The sequence below is a fragment of the Homo sapiens genome, chromosome 1, assembly GCF_000001405.40.
Source record: "Homo sapiens chromosome 1, GRCh38.p14 Primary Assembly".
Classification (NCBI taxonomy): domain Eukaryota; kingdom Metazoa; phylum Chordata; class Mammalia; order Primates; family Hominidae; genus Homo; species Homo sapiens.
The window spans coordinates 237,598,401-237,616,429 of NC_000001.11; the positions used below are offsets into that span (position 1 = coordinate 237,598,401).

Consider the following 18,029-nt stretch of genomic DNA (forward strand, 5'->3'; position numbering starts at 1 on the left):
GACAGATCATATGTTAGGCCACAAAATAAATCTTTAAAAATTTAAGATGATATCGTATATATTTTCTGATCACACTAGTATAAAACTAGAAATCAATACTGAGAGGAACTGAGGAAACTTTACGAATACATAGACATTAAACAACATACCCCTGAATAACCAGTGGGTAAATGAAGATGTTAAAAAAGAAATTAAAAATTTTCTTGAGACAAACAAAAATGGCGACACAACATACCAAAAGCTATGGGATACAGCAGAGGCAGTTCTAAGAGGGAAGTTTACAGTATTAAATGCCTACATTTAAGAAGTAAAAAATAAACCACCTAATATTGCACCTCCAAAAACCACAAATACAAGAACAAACTAAACCCCAAATTAATAGAAGTAAATAAATAATAAAAATTGGAACAATAACGAAACAGAGACTAAACAATACAAAAGATCAATGATACGAAGAGTTGGTTTTTTGAAAAGACAAAATCAGTAAACCTTTAGCTAGACAAAGAAAGAGATGACTCAAATAAATAAAATCCACATTGAAAAGAAGACATTACAACCTATACCACAGAAATACAAAGGATAATGAGAAAATATTATGAAAAATTGTATGCCAACAAATTGGATAACCTAGAAGAAATGGATAAATTCCTAGATGTATACAACCTACCAAGACTGACTTATGAAGAAATAGAAAATCTGAGCAGATTAATAGTGAGTGAGGAAATTGTATCAATAATGAAAAGTCTCTATCAAAGAAAAGCCCAGGACTAAATGGGGGAAAAGTTGAAAGCTTTTTTTTCTAAGGTCTGGAACAAGACAAAGATGCCCACTTTCACCACTTCTGTTCAACATAATACTAGAAGTGCTAGCCAGAGAATTTGGCAAGAAAAAGAAATAAAAGGCATCCAAATTGGAAAAGAAGTCATCAAATTGTCTCAGTTTGTAGATGACATGATCCTATATATAAAAATACCTTTAAAAGTTTACTAAAAAACTGTTAAAACTAATACATTCAGTAAATTTGCAGGATACAAAATCAGCATACAAAAATCAGTATTTCTTTGCACTAGTAGTGAATGCTCTGAGAAAAAAAATCAAGATACAATCTCAGTTACAATAGCTTTAAAAATCAGTTATCGGCTGGGCGCAGTGACTCATGCCTGTAATCCCAGCACTTTGGGAGGCCGAGGCGGGTGGATCATCTGAGGTCAGGAGTTCTAGACCAGCCTGGCCAAAATGGTGAAACCTCGTCTCTACTAAAAATACAAAAAAATTAGCCGGGCATGGTGGCAGGCACCTGTAATCCCACCTACTGGGGAGGCTGAGGCAGGAGAATCACTTGAACCCAGGAGGCAGAGGTTGCAGTGAGCTGAGCTCCAGCCTGGGTGACAGAGTGAGACTCCATCTCAAAAAAAAAAAAAAAAAAAAAATCAGTTATCTAGGAATACATTTAACAAAGGAGGTGTAAGATCTCTACACTGCAATCTATAAAACATTGGTGAAATAAATTTAAGAGGACAGAAATAAATGGAAAGATATCTCATGCTGTTGGATTGGATGGATTGGAAGAATTAATATTATTAAAATGTCCATAGTACAAAAAGTAATTACAGATTCAGTGAAGTCCCTATCAAAATACCAATGACATTATTATTCTATTATAGAAATAGAAAAAATAATTCTAAATTTCTTATGAAATCACAAAAGACCCCAAGCAGCCAAAGCAATCTTGAGCAAAAAGAATAAAGCTGGAAACATCACACTAACTGAGTTTAAAATACACAAAGCCATAGTAACCAAAACACTACCTGACTTGAAACTATACTACAAAGCTATGGTAACCAAAACAGACATATAGACCAATAAAACAGAACAGAGAACCCAGAAAAAAAAACACCTATCCATATCCAACTAATTTTCAACAAAGGTGCCAAGAACACACATTGGGGAAAGGACAGTTTCTTCAATAAATGGTACAGGGAAAATTGAATATCCACATGCAGAAGAATGAAATTGGACCCCTATTTTTCACCATATACAAAAATCAACTCAAAGTGGATTAAAGACTTAATGTAGGACCTTAAACTATGAAAGTACTGGAAGAAAACATGGGGGAAACACTTCATGACATTGGACTGGGTAAGGATTTTTTGGACGAGACCTCAAAAGCACAGGCAACAAAAGCAAAAATAGACAAGTGGGATTATATCAAACTAAAAATCCTCTGCACAGCCAAGGAAACAATTAACAGAGTGAAAAGACAATCTACAGAATGGGACAAAATATTTGTAAACTATACATCTGATAAGGGATCAATATCCAGAATATATAAGGAACACAAACAACAATAGTAAAAACAATCTGATTTAAAAGGGGGCAAAAGACCTTAATAAACATTTCTCAAAAGAAGGCATACAAATGGCCAACAGACATATGAAAACATGCTCAACATCACTAATCATCAGCAAAGTGCAAATCAAAACCACAATATTACCTTATTCCAGTTAAAATGGCTATTATCAAAAAGACAAAAGATAATAAGCATTGGCAAGGATGTTGAGGAAGAGGGAAACCCATACACTGTTGGTGGGAATGTAAATGAATATACCCATTATGAAAAACAGTATGGAGGTTCCTCAACAAATTAAGAATAGTACTACCATATGATCCAGAATTCCTGGGTATATATCCCAAGGAAAGGAAATCAGTGTGTGGAAGGAATATCTGCACTTCTATAATTATCACAGCACTACTCACAATAGCCAAGATAGGGAATCAGCCTAAGTGCCCATCAATGGATTAGTAAGTGAAGAAAATGTGGTATATATACACAGTGGAATACTATTTGGTCATAAAAAAAATGAGAACCTGTCATTCGCACCAATATGGGTGAGCCTGGAGGATATTGTGTTTAGTGAAATAAGCCAGACATAGAAAGAAAAATACTGCATTGCCCACTCATATGTAGAATCGAAAAAAGTTAATGTCATGGAAGTAGTGAATAGAATAGTGGTTATCAGAGACTGGGAAGGGTAGGTGAAAGTGGGGGAGAGGGAGCAGATACCCAATGGGTATAGAGTTAACATTAGAAAGGAAGAATAAGCGCTGGTGTCCTATTGGACAGTAGGGTGACTATAGTCAACCATCAGGTATTGTATATCTCAAAATAGCTAGAAGAGAGGATTTTGTATGTTCTCACCACAAAGAAATGAAAAATGTTCAAAGTGATAGACATGCTAATTACCCTGATTTGATCATTACACAATGTATGCAAGTATCAAAACATCATGTTACACCCCATTAAATATCTACAATGTGTCAATTAAAAAACAGTAAATTAGAAATTAAAAGAAAATGGAAAAAGTTAGATTAATTATGTATGTTTACTTCTGTTAAATAATGACAATGCCTTAAGCCCTTCAGAGTAAACAGAGTATGTTCCCCAAGCAGTGTTCACATAGTAATGAAATACTCTAATTCTTGAAGGAGCACATCAATCGATATGCAAGAAAGGAAAATCTCTGGGCTCCTTCTGTAAAGTATTCCTTTGTTGTTATAAAGAAAAACTTTTTCCCTTGTCTTGTTTCATTACTAACATTATTAAATTCATTAAATGTATTTCAGGTGGAACCGAGTACAAAATTATTTCCTGCGGTTTTTGCACAAGCTACAAGTCCCAATGTTTTCCAGTTTGAGTTGGGAAGAATAAAGGTAATAAAACTTATTCCTGGTATTGTATTTGTATTTTTTCTATTAGGATATAGCATTGATTTATTCTGAAATGAATTCAGTATATTAGTACTGATATGAATCAAATAAATCATTCTTTCAAGAAAAGATAGCCATGCTTGAAAATCTCTTTCAGGTCACAAGGGTAACAAAATAATTAAAAAGTGTTTCTCTTTAGTTATCATATGTATATTATTCAATAAAAGGCCTATAGAAAAAAAAATGCCGAGATTACACACATTGCAGCAGTCATTGAACTGATAGGTGAGCTAATGAATGGACTTAAAGATCTGAAACCATGCCACCTACAATAGTGGTATGTATGGAATACTCCAGTAACATAAATGAAAGAACAACTCAGTTGGATGGGTTGGATCAGCTAAAGCTCAAAGAAGAGGTAACATTTAGTTTGATTACTAACTGTAAAATAGAAGCTCTTGGGGTACGTTTATTAGGAGAGGTCATTCTGGGCAGAGGATGAGAAGAAGCAAAAATATGTAAGAGTGAACATGCTGAAGGTTAAGGAATTCAGTGTAACCGTAACAAAGGATGCCTTCCAGAATGTGGCTGGAGATTAAGATGGATAAAAGGTAGAACAAGTCCAAGTTGAAAAGGTCTTGTGTGCCATGTGAAAAGGTTAGCATCTATTACATAGACAAGGGAAATCCATTGGAAATTTGAAGAAGGGGATTGAGCATAATGAAACTTGTTTTGGAAAAATATGTTGTTATTAATGTGGAGGTGGGCAAGAATGAGAATAATCAGTAGCAATGAGGTGTCAATAATTTGATACTGTCTACATGGAAGACAGTGATTAGAGCCATGGAAGTCAGAATGAAAAATGATAAATGTGAAAACATTCTAGAGAAGAAATGAATACGCGAAGGCCCGTGGTGGGTGATGACATGATGTGATTTCTGCCCAGTGCTCTGAATGTCAAAGTGAAGAAATTCAATGAAGGACGGGTAAACGGCGGGAGTAACTATGACTCTCTTAAGGTAGCCAAATGCCTAGTCATCTAATTAGTGACGTTCATGAATGGATGAACGAGATTCCCACTGTCCCTACCTACTATCCAGCGAAACCACAGCCAAGGGAACGGGCTTGGTGGAATCCGCGGGGAAAGAAGACCCTGTTGAGCTTGACTCTAGTCTGGCACGGTGAAGAGCCATGAGAAGTGTAGAATAAGTGGGAGGCCCCTGGTGCCCCCCTGTCCCAGCAAGGGGACAGAGTGGGGCAAGGCCAGAGGTGAAATACCACTACTCTGATTGTTTATTCACTGACCCCGTGAGGTGGCCCCAAGGGGCTCTTGCTTCTGGCGCCAAGTGCCCGGCCACATGCACATGCCAAATTGTAAAGACCATCGATGCTAGGAAGAAACTGCGTCAACTAATGAGCAAAATAACCAGCTGACATCATAATGACAGGATCAAATTCACACATAACAATATTAACCTTAAATGTAAATGGGCTAAATGCTCCAATTAAAAAACACAGACTGGCAAATTGGATAAAGAGTCAAGACCCATCAGTGCTGTATTCAGGAGACCCATCTCATGTGCAGAGACACACATATGCTCAAAATAAAGGGATGGAGGAAGATCTACCAAGCAAATGGAAAACAAAGGCAGGGATTGCAATCCTAGTCTCTGATAAAACAGACTTTAAACCAACAAAGATCAAAAGAGACAAACAAGGCCATTACATAATGGTAAAGGGATCAATTCAACAAGAAAAGCTAACTATCCTAAATATATATGCACCCAATACAGGAGCACCCAGATTCATAAAGCAAGTCCTTAGAGACGTACAAAGAGACTTAGACTCCCACACAATAATAATGGGAGACTTTAACACCCCACTGTCAACATTAGACATATCAACGAGACAGAAAGTTAACAAGGATATCTAGGAATTGAACTCAGCTCTGCACCAAGCGGACCTAATAGACATCTACAGAACTCTCCACCCCAAATCAACAGAATATACATTCTTCTCATCACCACATCGCACTTACTCCAAAATTGACCACATAGTTGGAAGTAAAGCACTCCTCAGCAAATGTAAAAGAACAGAAATTATAACAAACTGTCTCTCAGACCACAGTGCAATCAAACTAGAACTCAGGATTAAGAAACTCACTCAAAACCACTCAACTACATGGACACTGAACAACCTGCTCCTGAATGACTATGGGGTACATAACAAAATGAAGGCAGAAATAAAGATGTTCTTTGAAACCAACGAGAACAAAGACACAACATACCAGAATCTCTGGGACACATTTAAAGCAGTGTGTAGAGGGAAACTTATAGCACTAATGCCCACAAGAGAGAGCAGGAAAGATCTAAAATTGACACCCTAACATCGCAATTCAAAGAACTAGAGAAGCAAGAGCAAACACATTCAAAGGCTAGCGGAAGGCAAGAAATAACTAAGATCCGAGCAGAACTGAAGGAGATAGAGACACAAAAAACCCTTCAAAAAATCAATGAATCCAGGAGCTGGTTTTTTGAAAAGATCAACAAAATTGGTAGACCACTACCAAGACTAATAAAGAAGAAAAGAGAGAAGAATCAAATAGATGCAATAAAAAATGACAAAGGGGATATCACCATCAATCCCACAGAAATACAAACTACCATCAGAGAATACTATAAACACCTCTATGCAAATAAACTAGAAAATCTAGAAGAAATGGATAAATTCCTCGACACATACACCCTCCCAAGACTAAACCAGGAAGAAGTTGAATCCCTGAATAGACCAATAACAGGCTCTGACATTGAGGCAATAATTAATAGCCTACCAACCAAAAAAAGTCCAGGACCAGACAGATTCACAGCCGAATTCTACCAGAGGTACAAGGAGGAGCTGGTACCATTCCTTCTGAAACTATTCCAATCAATAGAAAAAGAGGGAATCCTCCCTAACTCATTTTATGAGGCCAGCATCATCCTGATACCAAAGCCTGGCAGAGACACAACCAAAAAAAAGAACTTTAGACCAATATCTCTGATGAACATCGATGCAAAAATCCTCAATAAAATACTGGCAAACGGAATCCAGCAACACATCAAAAAGCTTATCCACCATGATAAAGTGGGCTTCATCCCTGGGATGCAAGGCTGGTTCAACATACACAAATTAATAAACGTAATCCAGCATATAAACAGAACCAACGACAAAAACCACATGATTATCTCAACAGATGCAGAAAAGGCCTTTGACAAAATTCAACAGCCCTTCATGCTAAAAACTCTCAATAAATTAGGTATTGATGGGACGTATCTCAAATTAATAAGAGCTATTTATGACAAACCCACAGCCAATATCATACTGAATGGGCAAAAACTGGAAGCATTCCCTTTGAAAACTGGCACAAGTGGCCTTCTCTCCCCACTCCTATTCAACATAGTGTTGAAAGTTCTGGCCAGAGCAATCAGGCAAGGAAAAGAAATAAAGGGTATTCAATTAGGAAAAGAGGAAGTCAAATTGTCCCTGTTTGCAGATGACATAATTGTATATTTAGAAAACCCCATCATCTCAGCCCAAAATCTCCTTAAGCTGATAAGCAACTTCAGCAAAGTCTCAGGATACAAAATCAATGTGCAAAAATCACAAGCATTCTTATACACCAACAACAGACAAACAGAGAGCCAAATCATGAGTGAACTCCCATTCACAATTGCTTCCAAGAGAATAAAATACCTAGGAATCCAACTTACAAGGGATGTGAAGGACCTCTTCAAGGAGAACTACAAACCACTGCTCAATGAAATAAAAGAGGACACAAACAAATGGAAGAACATTCCATGCTCATGGGTAGGAAGAATCAATATCATGAAAATGGCCATACTGCCCAAGGTAATTTATAGATTCAATGCCATCCCCATCAAGCTACCAATGACTTTCTTCACAGAATTGGAAAAAACTACTTTAAAGTTCATATGGAACCAAAAAAGAGCCTGCATTGCCAAGTCAATCCTAAGCCAAAAGAACAAAGCTGGAGGCATCATGCTACCTGACTTCAAACTATACTACAAGGCTACAGTAACCAAAACAGCATGGTACTGGTACCAAAACAGAGATACAGACCAATGGAACAGAACAGAGCCCTCAGAAACAACACCACACATCTACAACCATCTGATCTTTGACAAACCTGACAAAAACAAGAAATGGGGAAACGATTCCCTATTTAATAAATGGTGCTGGGAAAACTGGCTAGCCATATGTAGAAAGCTGAAACTGGATCCCTTCCTTACACCTTATACAAAAATTCATCCAAGGTGGATTAAAGACTTAAATGTTCGACCTAAAACCATAAAAACCCTAGAAGAAAACCTAGGCAATACCATTCAGGACATAGGCGTGGGCAAGGACTTCATGTCTAAAACACCAAAAGCAATGGCAACAAAAACTAAAATTGACAAATGGGATCTAATTAAACTAAAGAGCTTCTGCACAGCAAAAGAAACTACCATCAGAGTCAACAGGAAACCTACAGAATGGGAGAAAATTTTTGCATTTTTGCAATCTTCTCATCTGACAAAGGGCTAATATCCAGAATCTACAAAGAACTCAAACAAATTTACAAGAAAAAAACAAACAACCCCATCAAAAAGTGGACAAAGGATATGAACAGACACTTCTCAAAAGAAGTCATTTATGCAGCCAACAGACACGAAAAAATGCTCATCATCAATGGCCATCAGAGAAATGCAATCAAAACCACAATGAGATACCATCTCACACCAGTTAGAATGGTGATCATTAAAAAGACAGGAAACAACAGGTGCTGGAGAAGATGTGGAGAAATAGGAACACTTTCACACTGTTGGTGGGACTGTAAACTAGTTCAACCATTGTGGAAGACAGTGTGGCGATTCCTCAAGGATCTAGAACTAGAAATACCATTTGACCTAGCCATCCCATTACTGGGTATATACCCAAAGGATTATAAATCATGCTGTTATAAAGACACATGCACACGTATGTTTATTGTGGCATTATTTACAATATCAAAGACTTGGAACCAACCCAAATGTCCATCAGTGTTAGACTGGATTAAGAAAATGTGGCACATATACACCACGGAATACTATCCAGCCACGAAAAATGATGAGTTCATGTCCTTTGTAGGGACATGGATGAAGCTGGAAACCACAATTCTCAGCAAACTATCACAAGGACAAAAAACCACACACCGCATGTTCTTACTCACAGGTGGGAATTGAACAATGAAAACACTTGGACACAGGAAGAGGAACATCACACACCGGGGCCTGTTGTGGGGTTGGGGGAGGGAGGGAGGGATAGCATTAGGAGATATACCTAATGTAAATGACGCGTTAATGGGTGCAGCACACCAACATGGCACATGTATACATATGTAACAAACCTGCACATTGTGCACATGTACCCTAGAAGTTAAAGTATAATAAAAAAAAGAATAGGATTTAACAATGAATTGGACTAATAGAATTTGTAGATGAATGGAATTCAGGATCTCAAGGAGACTGAGAATGAATGATTGATTTAAAATTTTAGTTTGGACAATTTGACCATGCTAATCAAAAAGTAGAAGAGCTTTTCGAAATTCAGGAAAAAAGGTTGAACTTAATTTTGCAATTGTAAAGTTGAGGTTCCAGGCACACATTGGAGTGAATAGAGTAGATAGTTTTATTAGGCTGGCTTGGTGACCTTGGACATCTTTCTTAAATTATTTGAGCTCAGTTTCTGCATCTATAAAATGGGGTTCACAGTATCCGTTTTATGGAGTTAATATAACTAAACATCTTGAGCAGTGCTTTATACATGGTATACAGCAAATTTATATACTCAATAAATTTACATACAATATACATACGTATGCATACCTATATACACATATGTATACACCATTGTGCTAAAAAGAGCTATGCTGGAGATTAAAATTTTCATCATCAAGAAATCAGTTGTAATTCATCTTTGAGTGTGAATGGAATATTTGAGGGCAGATGTAGAGAGTGGGAAGAGATGGCTGAGGAGAGAGCCTGGTTGTATCAACTAAAAAAGAGGAACCTATGAGATAGGCTGAGGGCAGAACTCTCAAGAATGTTGGAGAAGAACTGAAAGAGACATTTTAGTAGACGCCAAGCGAGGATGGAGTTTTCTAAACAGGAGTGGCTAACAGCGGATGCCGTAGATGGACTCATACAACTCGGAGTAAAGGAATTCCTGGCTTTTGTTAATGAGGAGGGCTTTGGTGGCCTTGCCAGAAGAATTTAAGCAAAACAATGGGAGAGGGGCTGGTCTCAGTGGCTCATGCTTGTAATCCCAGCACTTTGGGAGGAAGGAGGAATCACTTGAGCCCAGAAGTTTGAAACCAGCTTGGGCAACATAGTGAGACCCCATCTCTACAAAAAATAAAAAATTATTTTAGGCAGATGTGGTGGTGCACGCCTTTAGTCCCAGATCCTCCAGAGGCTGAGGTGGGAGGATCACTTGAGAGTGCAGACATGGAGGCTGCTGTGAGCCGTGATTGCGCTGCTGCACTCCAGCCTGGGTGACAGAGGGAGACCTTGTCTCAATTATTATATTAAAAAATGATGAGAGGAGCCATGTGACAGTGAATTCAAGATTGGAAATGAGAGAAAGGAGGCAGCAAGTTCAGACTGACCTGTTTTTTTTTTTTTTTTTTTTTTTTACAAAATTGGACAAGGAGTTGTAGTTTCTCAGAAGCCTGACTGATATATTCAGTCATCTATTGACTATTGACTTCTACTGACATTTTCATTGGCCGACTAATAGCTATCACAAATTGAATGCATCCATACTGGACTGCTTGCTCTCTTCTCTTCTTTTCCTTTCTTCTTTCTCTCTTCTTCTCTTCTCCCTCTCCCTCCCTCCTTCCCTCCCTCCCTTCCTTCCTTCCTTGTCCCTGTCCCTTTTCTTTCTTGCTGACAGTCTCACTCTGTCACCCAGGCTAGAGTGCACTGATGTGATCTCAGCTCACTACAACCTCTCTCTCTCTCTTTTTCTCTTTCTCTCTCCTTCCCTCCCTCCCTTCCTTCCTGCCCTCCTATCTTCCTTGTCCCCATCCCTTTTCTTTCTTACTGACAGTCTCACTCTGTCACCCAGGCTAGAGTGCAGTGATGTGATCTCAGCTCACTACAACCTCTCTCTCTCTCTTTTTTTCTTTCTCTCTCCTTGCTTCCCTCCCTCCATCCCTCCCTCCCCCCTTCTCCCCTTCCCCCCTTCCCTTTTCTTTCTTTCTGACAGAGTCTCACTTGTCACCCAGGCTGGAGTGCAGTGACACGATCTCAGCTCACTGCAACCTCCGCCTCCCAGGTTCAAGCAATTCTCCCACCTCAGCCTCCTGAGTATTTGGGACTACAGGAACATGCCACCATTTTTGTTTTTTTTTACAGGCGAATTTTTGTATTTTTAGCAGTGGGCCAGGCTGGTCTTGTACTCCTGACCTCAAGTGATCCACCTGCCTCGGCCTCCCAAAGTGCTGGGATTACAGGCGTGAGCCATGGTGCCTAGCCCAGTCTTTCTTTAAATGTTGCTTTCTCAATGATGCCCATTCTGACAACCCCATTTAAAATTGCTGCCCTTGATTCTGGTTCCCCCATTCTAGCTTTCTGTCCCCCAAACCCCCAGGCCCATGACATCTCTTTTAAAATACCATTTAATTCATTTAATTTACTTATTGATTTTATTTCATACTTTCAGTGAGAAAAATGGAAGCTATATGAGGGCAGGGGTTTTGTTAGTTTTATTCATTAGCATATCATCAGTATTTAAACCAGTACTTGGTTTTTCCCCGCCTATTGTTAGAGGGCAATAGGAAAGCAGTTTGAGGATGAAGTAGTCTACAGCATGCAGTTGAGGGGGCTCTAGAGGAGAAGAAGAGATAGAAGATAATGCAGAAATATGAGATAATGGTTTTCTTATGGTCCCATAAGAGGCAGGCATCGGTGTTGTCAAGATCATAGATAAATGAAGAAACTTTTGGCAAAGCAGAGACCTCTCTTTCTTTGACACCAGACAGAAAGAATTAAGGATGGCTGAAGATGATACTGGAGGTGGAGGAGAAATAAGTAGGTTTGTTAATGCCTAACATATTCTGTTTTCTTATTCGGTAGTCAGGTTTATCTGTTGAGCTTTATCTGGAATACTTCTGGCTAGAGGAAGTGTCTTAAGGACGAGTTGGGTGACAGAGAACAGATATTGAGAGAGAGAGCCAGGGGGATGTGACATATCTGTCATTCAGGAAGTTTGGCACTGAAAGTCCCTAAAGACTTGCCAGCTTTCCCGGAGGTCCCAGCCTGGTAAAGAAATATAAAGGATATATGGGTATGCTTGGCCTTCTCTCTGTGCCATTCAGTATATGGGAAAGACACATCCCGAAACCTGTTTGACTGCCCGGAAGGTGTAGGTATTCTCTCTCATAATGTATTTCCTGGTTTGTCCTTTCAGAAACTTTTCAACCCAATTTCTATGATTTCTTGTGTTGACTTTGCTTGACTCATAGGGTTATCTTACTTTCCCTGTCTCTGTCCTGTGCAGAATTCTAGTCATTACTTTGTGAACCCCAAGGGATGTTCTACATTTATTCTTTTTCTGCCTCCCCATCCGCTAGAATGTGATGCCTCTCTCGGCGGGATTATTCAAGAGTGAGCACAAGAACCCCGTGCCGCAGTGCCCCCCGCGCCTCCACGTGCAGTTCCTGTCACACGTCCTGTGGAGCAGAATGCCCAACCAGTTTTTGAAGGTAGATGTGTCTCGAATAAGTGAACGCCAAGGCTGGTTGGTGCAGTGTTTGGATCCTCTGCAGTTCATGTCTCTTCATATCCCTGAGGAAAACAGGTCAGCCCCAGTGAATCCCTGACATTCTGATTGGGACGCTTGGGATTAGCCTGCTGCCCGGGGCTTCCGGTAGTGGTGCGGGGCAGGGGTGGTTCTAAAGAAACAAGATGAAATTTACAAAGATCTAAATTCTTTAGGCAATGGAGTCATTATTCTGCGTATTCTAAGTTTAAGTTTATTTCTCAACCATTCTGTTACTGAAAAAAATTATTCTGTAGTTGAAGATGCCACATGATGGTTTCTTCATTCACTCTTGCGTTACTTACAATGACAATGGCGAATAAAAATTCAGACAAGTGCAACTGCAATCCGACTTATGACTTAGCAGAGTACTGTAATAGAGAATAGTGAGATATTAGAGATGGAATCATAAGAATCACTTATGATTCCTATGTTCAACCCTTCATTTTATAGATGTAAAAAACTGATCCAAGAGATATTAATGAAAGAAAATTGGGAAAATACTGGGAGTGTCTTCGAAACAAGTTTATATGCATTCTAGGCAGTAATAATAGTAACATAAAGTATAATAAGTACTCAAAGGTATTTGAGTAGCTTTGTTTATGATTTTCTGTTTTTCCATATGATAGCCAATTAAATTGCAGAGATTTCATTTAAGCAGCCTTCTTATCAATAAGGAGCTAAGTTTCTAAGTTTTGGGCCAAGATTTCCCTCCCAAAATGCCACTGAAATGTTGAATCACAAACTGAGTAAAAACAAGTCATGAAAGTAATGCACAAACATATTTGTATGTTTTAAGTCTTTAATCTGAAAATAATTATTGAAGCCAGGTCCATTTTTATATCTTTAGATGTTCTTGGCATTTTTTATTTTAATATCTTTAAAATTTAACCTATGCTTTGGAAAACAGTTTGTCAGTTCCTCAAAAAATAAAATTATAGCGTTAACATGTGATCTAGCAATTCTACTCCTCGTATATACCCAAGAGAAATTAAAATATGTCCACACAAAAACTTGTACATGAATATTCATAGAAGCATTATGAACAATAGTAAAAGAAAGGGAACCCCAAATGTTCACCAGCTTATGAGTCAATAAACAAAATGTGATATATCCATATAATATTATTTGGCAATAAAAATGATTGAAGTACTGATATATGCTACAAAATGCAAGAACTTTGAAGACATTATATTAAGTGAAAGAAACCAGTCACGGAAGTATATTAAGTGAAAGAATCCTACTAGTGTGGGATTTTATTTAATTGAAAAGTCCATAATAGACAAATCTTTAGAAACGAAAAGTAGATTAGTAGTTACCTAGGGCTAGGAGCGGAACAGGACTGCTAATGGGTACTAAATTCCTTTTGGGATGATAAAAGTGTTCTAAACTCAACTTATAGTTATAGTTACACAACTCCATTAATATACATAAACTATTAAATTATGTATTTTAAGTAGGTAAATTGTATAGCATGTAAATTACAGTTCAACAAAGATATTTTAAAACAAAAGAAAATCAAAGAAAAATTAATCTGGCTAGTTAATTCTTTTTATGTATTACATATGTATTTACATTTTTTACATGAGGTAATTAGATATCTTTCATAATGTACTCTTGAGATGGTTCAGTTTGATTTTAATTTTGTATTCTTTTTTTTTGTGAGAAGAGTTTTATCATAATTTTTCATCTGATGATGTTTTTTAAGAAAATACCGAACAACCAAAACAAACACAACATTTGGGAAGGAATTCTTGTTTATGAAGGAAAACGTTGTGTCTCTACTGAGCATGGAATTTTAACATTATAATTTAACATTTTGGCATGCTATCATCGAAAACCAACATAACACCTTGTCTCAGTAGTTTATATTAATTGCCTGTGATAGATGTGTATGTATGTGAATGGATAATGTAAACTCTCACTAAAGATCATAAAGGATTTGAGGCAGTTTTCCAAATGATATGGAACATGAATGTATAAAAATGTGTCACTGGCATCAGGCCATAGAAAATATATGGATAGGAAAATAAAACTGAGGCTAAGAGTGACACACAGTCATTTATACCACACCGATTGGTAGAGTTGGGGCCCACATTAATTTCATTCTTCCTAGCAGCCAAAGAAAAATATGATGAGTTTCAAAATCCAAATTCCAAAAAAGGAAGTCTTAACTAGCATGGTTGAGAAGAATCTGATGCCCCAATAACATGACAAATCATTAATATTTTAAAGTGTGCAATGGTGGTAGATTTATGTCAGTGTGTACTTTGTTTCTCCTTAACACATGTCACAGTTTATAATTTAATTTACTCCATTTTGGTCAGCGGGGGTGGTTTACTCCCTCAATTGAATATAAGCTCCCTGGGGGCAGGAATCATGTCTATATTATTCACCATTGTATCATCAGTGCGCAGTGCTAATACATAATAGGCACTCAGTGATATTTGATGAACAATTGAATGACAATGACATATGAAAGAAATTTCTCCACTAGAGACTTTTTTGTTGTTGTTTCTTTATTTATCTATTGTTTTGAGGTGGAGTCTCACCATTGCCCAGTCTGGAGTACAGTGGCGCGATCTCGGCTCATTGCCACAGATCCTTGATACAATGGAGGAGGAAGGAGGTGCTAGATGAATGTCAAATTCTATGTAGAAGAAAATTTGTAGAACATCTAGAAATGATTAAAAGTACTATGCAGCCATTAAACATGTCATAGAAAATTAAAAGAAGACACAGGTTGGGTGTCCCAAATCCAAAAATCTGAAATTCGAAATGCTCCAAAATCGGAAACATTTTGAGCACCAACATAATGCTCAAAGGAAATGGGGTATTTCACATTTCAGACTTTCAGATTCAGGATGCTCAACCGGTAAGTATAATGCAAACATTTCAAAGTCTGAATAAAGTCCCAAATCCAAACAATTCTGGTCCCAAGCATTTCAGATTAGGGATGTTCAACCTGCAGTGTCTATTCCCATAACTTTTTTCCTTCAAATTTACAGTGCATACTGATTTCTCCTCTGATTCAGATTTTAAAAAATCATTCATTTCTAATCTTACTACCACTCTCCTCCCTTCTACAGATCTGTTGACATCTTAGAGTTGACAGAGCAGGAGGAATTGCTGAAATTTCACTATCACACTCTCCGGCTCTACTCAGCCGTCTGTGCTCTTGGGAACCACCGGGTGGCCCATGCCCTGTGCAGCCATGTGGATGAACCTCAGCTCCTCTATGCCATTGAGAACAAGTACATGCCTGGTTTGCTGCGTGCTGGCTACTATGACCTGCTGATTGACATCCACCTGAGCTCCTATGCCACTGCCAGGCTCATGATGAACAACGAGTACATTGTCCCCATGACGGAGGAGACGAAGAGCATCACCCTGTTCCCTGATGAGAACAAAAAACACGGCCTTCCAGGGATCGGCCTCAGCACCTCCCTCAGGCCACGGATGCAGTTTTCCTCCCCCAGTTTTGTAAGCATTAGTAATGAATGTTACCAGTACAGTCCAGAGTTCCCACTGGACATCCTCAAGTCCAAAACCATACAGATGCTGACAGAAGCTGTTAAAGAGGGCAGTCTTCATGCCCGGGACCCAGTTGGAGGGACTACTGAATTCCTCTTTGTACCTCTCATCAAGCTTTTCTATACCCTGCTGATCATGGGCATCTTTCACAACGAGGACTTGAAGCACATCTTGCAGTTGATTGAGCCCAGTGTGTTTAAAGAAGCTGCCACTCCGGAGGAGGAGAGTGACACGCTGGAGAAAGAGCTCAGTGTGGACGATGCAAAGCTGCAAGGAGCTGGTGAGGAAGAAGCCAAGGGGGGCAAGCGGCCCAAGGAAGGCCTGCTCCAAATGAAACTGCCAGAGCCAGTTAAATTGCAGGTAATCAGAACAAGAGACTTGAGTGAATTTCAGAATTGCTAAGCATTAAGGTATTAGAACATGCCTTTGTTTCTTTCTCTGTGTGTGTGTTTATTTCTTTGCATTCCTGTGTAATGGTAGTTCTTCATAAAATTAACTAACTTCCTATTCTTTTCCCTCTTATTCATTAGCCATCTCCTCTTGTTTCCCAGATGCTTTTTACCTTCATTACATTGGAATACCTGAAATACAAGCCATCAAATACCCCTTTCCACCCATATTTCCACTCTTACCAACCTTAGAATACTTGTTTACCAGTAGATGCACCCATTGTCACATAGCAAGGTTTTACTTTCCCCTAGTATGCTTTTGTTTTGTTCTTTTGAGACAGGGTCTCACTCAGTCACCCAGGCTGGAGTGCAGTGGTGGTGCAATCATAGCTCACTGCAGCCTAGAACTCCTGGGCTCAAGCCATCCTCCCACCTCAGCTTCTACAGCAGCTGGGACTGTAGGTATGCCACCATGCCCAGTTAATTTTTTTTTATTTTTAGTCGAAATGAGGTCTCGCTCTATTGCCCATGCTGGTGTCAAACTCCTGGACTCAAGTGTTCCTCACTCCTCATGCTCCCAAAATGCTAGGATTACAAGTGTAAGCCACTGCACCCAGCCACCTTAGTATGTTTTTAAGGAATCAGACACACTGGCTGTCTTTATGCTCCTCAAGATGTCTAAAGGGTCCTTTATTAATGTCTCCTCTGTTTATTAAAGTCAATTGGATGTTTGCATCGCTGACCTGCTTTTTTGCTCCTCGTTCCTTTAGTCAGCGTTGACTGAAGCCTTACTCTGGGTATGCACTTAGGGGAAACACAAGTGAACCCTGCCTTTCAGAATCTCACAGCCTCTAAGGAAATATACACTCATTTATGCATTAAAAAATCTTATTGCTAATTGCATTAAATACTCTGAAGGCAAAGAATGGATTACTAAAAGAAAGAACATTTAGACTGGATTACTGTTAGAAAGATGAGGGAGAAGACCCCTCAGAGATTTTGACTTTTAAGCTGAGTTCAGATTTAAGAGTTGTGCTCAGCAGTTACAAGAAAAAGGAACAAGGCAGGGTGTTCTAGGAGCTTTCCATGCAAAACAAATAGCCCAGCAAAGGTCCTGAGGCAGGAAAAGGCCAGTGTGGCTGCTGGTAGGAAAATCGATAAGGGAGGAAAGAGAGTGTGATCTAGTGTCTGGTTAGTCAGGAGGCTTTCTTGCTGGTCCAAACTCTAGGAGACCATGCTCAGAGGAGGGTGGGGCAAAGGAGATGGAGAAAAGGGGTTGGACACTGTGACTACTTCAGAGACAGCACTGATAGAAATGGTTATATTGTAGATGGTGACACAGAGGGTTTTAAGGTCCTCTTTGACACTGTCATGTATTTATATCACAATTGGTATTGAGTGTATAGATTTTTTTAAAAATTTGGCAGAGCATTCTCTCTTAGAAATGTTTCTACCAACATACTCACTCAGTTATAAATCCTTTTGGTTTTCAGTAGGAGAAAGACCCAGCTAATCACTGAATGAATGAGCATTCACCACTTAATTGTCTTAAGTTTA

At 38.7% G+C, this 18,029-nt stretch overlaps 1 protein-coding gene across 18 annotated transcripts in view; it reads left to right on the forward strand.

Moving 5' to 3' along the window:
* Window positions 1-18,029, forward strand: part of RYR2 (ryanodine receptor 2) — a 791,805-nt gene that overhangs the window by 556,217 nt on the left and 217,559 nt on the right. For all 18 annotated transcript variants that reach the window (XR_007062490.1, XR_002957299.2, XM_006711802.4 and 15 more), the window contains 3 exons: window positions 3,625-3,711; window positions 12,362-12,588; window positions 15,639-16,443. Coding sequence is in view for 16 of the 18 variants with exons in the window: in XM_006711802.4 (XP_006711865.1) it covers window positions 3,625-3,711; window positions 12,362-12,588; window positions 15,639-16,443 (1,119 nt within the window). In the remaining 2 variants the exon portion in view is untranslated. The remainder of the gene's footprint in view (window positions 1-3,624; window positions 3,712-12,361; window positions 12,589-15,638; window positions 16,444-18,029) is intronic.